Here is a 3,707-nt window from a genome sequence, read left to right as displayed (position 1 = left end):
GGAGAAATAGGAACACTTTTACACTGTTGGTGGGACTGTAAACTAGTTCGACCTTTGTGGAAGTTGGTGTGGTGATTCCTCAGGGATCTAGAACTAGAAATACCATTTGACCCAGCCATCCCATTACTGGGTATATACCCAAAGGATTATAAATCATGCTGCTATAAAGACACATGCACACATATGTTTATTGCTGCACTATTCACAATAGCAAAGACTTGGAACCAACCCAAACGTCCAACAATGATAGACTGGATTAAGAAAATGTGGCACATATACACCATGGAATACTATGCAGCCATAAAAAATGATGAGTTCATGTCCTTTGTAGGGACATGGATGAAGCTGGAAACCATCATTCTCAGCAAACTATCACAAGGACAGAAAACCAAACACCGCATGTTCTCACTCATAGGTGGGAATTGAACAATGAGAACACATGGACACAGGAAGGGGAACATCACACACTGGGGACTGTTGTGGGGTGGGGGGAGGGGGGAGGGATAGCATTAGGAGATATACCTAATGCTAAATGAGGAGTTAATGGGTGCAGCACACCAACATGGCACATGTATACATATGTAAGAAACCTGCACATTGTGCACATGTACCCTAAAACTTAAAGTATAATAATAATAAAAAAAGAAGAAAAAAGTAAGTAGCAATCTGAGGCCATTTGATAAAGAGAAAGGAAGACCTGTATTTCCCAATAGCATCAATGTATGCATCACTATTTTATAGAAGTGGGTAAGTATTCTTACTAAACTAAGTGTTTCCAAAAATGCTAAAATTATGTTTTGCATTTTATTTCCCTAAACTTGGAAATGTTCCATAACTTTTAAAAAATGTTATTTGGCCTTGAGAAATATATATGATGCCACATTTCAGTCATCTATTGAATTCAGATATCAATTCTCCTAACTTGGTGGCAGCAGACAAAATATTAAATAAATGCATATAAAGGGATTACAGACACCTAATGAGTCACCGTGGGACACAAGGCTGTGTAAAGTAGGCCCTAACCTTTGATGCTGACATCCAGAAAGATGAGCATGGCTGTGCTCAGCAAGTCCCTTGGGACTCTCAGGCAGAAGGTTCTGCAGTTGGGCACATAACCACCTGAGAAAGTAGTTTCAAGCTGCTAGCATCCAGATTTTTCTTTCTAGGTGTGTTGAGAGGAAAGAGAGGGATACATCATGGATTATTTTTCTGCAATATCACACTGTACTTTCCTAGTATAGACAGGGTCCTCAATCAATTTGACCTATGTTGTCAATTGTCCTATTTGCAAGTTTGTTAACCAAGAGGTACTTTCCTACCTAATCATTTTCTCCCAGTGGTTTGTTAAGGGACTCACACTGCACGGAAACAATCTGAAGGACATTCTCCACTGGCTCCTAGAGATCTACTCTCTACTCTGCTCTGGGCTCTGAAAGGCTGATCTTAAAAGCCTGCCTCAAAACCCATCTGGCTTCCAGGTGGGATAGCCATGAGAGATAGAAGCAAGAGAATAGAGAGCAGGAGGGAAGGACACTGGCATCTTGTACCTCTGGTTTTTATTCTCTGAACTACTTGTTGGAGGTGGCTTCCTAATTGTTATTAACTAATCTATTTGCATGCAGTAAAATCCATTTTACTCATACCATTTGATGACTTTTGACAAAAATGTACACCTGTGTAACCACTGCCACAATCAAGAAAGAAAGCTTTTTATTACCATAAAATGTTTTCTACTTCTTTCTTGCCACAAGTCCCTATCTCCCCAGCCCCAGCAACAACTGATCTCATTTCTGTCATTATGGATTTGTTTTACCTTCATTAGAATTTAATATAAATGGAATCATAGAGTATGAACTCTTTGGTTCAACATAATTATTTTGAGATGTATCTATGTTGTTGAGTCTATCAATAGTTCATTACATTTTATTGCTTTGCAGTATTCCATCTGGCCTATCACATCAAAGACTGTGACTACTGTCATTAGGTCTTCTCCTACAACTAGCATTCTCTGCAGTTCCACCATCCTTGTTGATTGCCCTTCAGTCTGACACCACCTTTGTAAATAGGACCTATACTGAACCCTTCTCTATGATATGTTCTGTCTGTCTTCTGCTGGGTCTTTAACTGACCCACAATCACTTAGGAAATACATTATTAGAAGAGTATATAAACTTTTTATTCTCTAAGGAAATAAAAGCTTTTATAGGCATTGTGTTAGTCTATTTGGTGCTGCTATAATGAAATACCACAGACTGGGGAATTTGTAGAGAGCAAAAATGTTTCCTCATAGTTCAGGAGGCTGGGAAGTCCAAAATCAAGGTACTGGCATTTTGTGAGGACCTTCTTGTTGTGTCCTCACATGATGGAATGCAGAAGGGCAACAGATAGCTGATTGCTACCAGAAGCCTCTATTCTAAGGACCTTAATCCCATTAACAAGAGAAAAGCCCTCATGGACTAATAACCTCTTAAAGGCCCTACCTCTTAAGAGCATCACAATGGCAACACCTGACTCTTGGAGACAACACATTCAAACCACAGCAGGCATGATCCTGACATCTTTTGTTATGTCCCATTGTGGCAAGAAGTAGGTATCAGCCTTTTTTTAACCACAAAAAGAAGAGAAATGTGGAGATATCCTGCTCTTTGCCTATGATAGTTGGAGGTAAAATGGTCTAAAACCTTAAATGTCTAATCCTTTAATGTTCTTTTAATTATTTAAAAATAGTTTATTTCTTCAGACTATAAAAGATATGTGTGTTAAATGAATATTTTTGATACTTGGAAAATGCAGAAAAGTATAAAGAAAAAATAAAAATCATCCATAAACTCACCATCCTGTGATAAACACAGAATATTTCTTTCAAATCCATTTTTATTTAATGATGATCCATATGCACCTATTTTAAATAAATTAGATTCCCAGGGTAGTTTTGTATCCTGCCCTTTTCCAACTAAATATTATTGCCAGCATTTTCATTATCATTAAATATTATTTCAGAGCGTTATTTTTAATGGCCATATAAATCTTACATTGTCTAACACATGTGCTCGATTACTTTTCTATTGTTTGTAATTTACTGCTTCCAACAGGGATCTAAATTTTGTAGAAAGCAAACCAAGATTCAGTTCACTCTTTGGCCATTATGATGGTGTTCTTTGACATTTGGGGCCAGCCTAGTTCCTAAATAGAATTTAAAATCAAGGGATTTAACAATTGAGAGAAAGGTGCTTGACAGCTAATCGAGGAGAACAGTCATTTGGGGAATATTCACTGGTCCTAACAAGGAAAATCGTGGGGTTCTCAGACTCCACCTCCAGATAACTTCTAAAGCCTGCCCTGATAAGGTTCAATTAAGATGAGAAAGATCAGGTAACTTTGCAGGAAGACCGTAATTCCTGCAATACCAAATGTCAAATGTTGCCATTTTAGCTGTTCTGGGTGACTGCCTTGTTATTTCTGAGGGTTTTAAGGGTAGTATTTGTCAATGGCAGCATCACTGCCTTTTCAAAGTAATTAACTTTGTACCCAAAAATAAACTTAATTGTTTAACCACTGGTGTATTAAGCACCATGGGAGGGATGTACCATTTTCTTTGGAAATAAATCTGATTTCTTCAGTCTCCCGAGTTATTTCTCCAGGAACCATGTTATTGTCCTGTAAAATGGTCCACCTCTCCATTGTCTCCTAAGTAGCAGTTAGCTGGG

General features: G+C 38.0%; 1 annotated feature.

Annotated features, from left to right (window-relative positions):
- Nucleotides 2,191-2,793: an enhancer, noted in NCBI's record as "OCT4-NANOG hESC enhancer chr4:22885626-22886228 (GRCh37/hg19 assembly coordinates)". NCBI's record gives its function as "activates a minimal SCP1, AML or CMV promoter by ChIP-STARR-seq in primed H9 embryonic stem cells {active_cell/tissue: H9 hESC(primed)}" and the evidence as "EXISTENCE:reporter gene assay evidence [ECO:0000049][PMID:30033119]".

This window comes from Homo sapiens, chromosome 4 (assembly GCF_000001405.40).
Source record: "Homo sapiens chromosome 4, GRCh38.p14 Primary Assembly".
Classification (NCBI taxonomy): domain Eukaryota; kingdom Metazoa; phylum Chordata; class Mammalia; order Primates; family Hominidae; genus Homo; species Homo sapiens.
The sequence above is the reverse complement of the archived record's forward strand: the minus strand, read 5'-3'. Positions and strand labels throughout refer to the sequence as shown.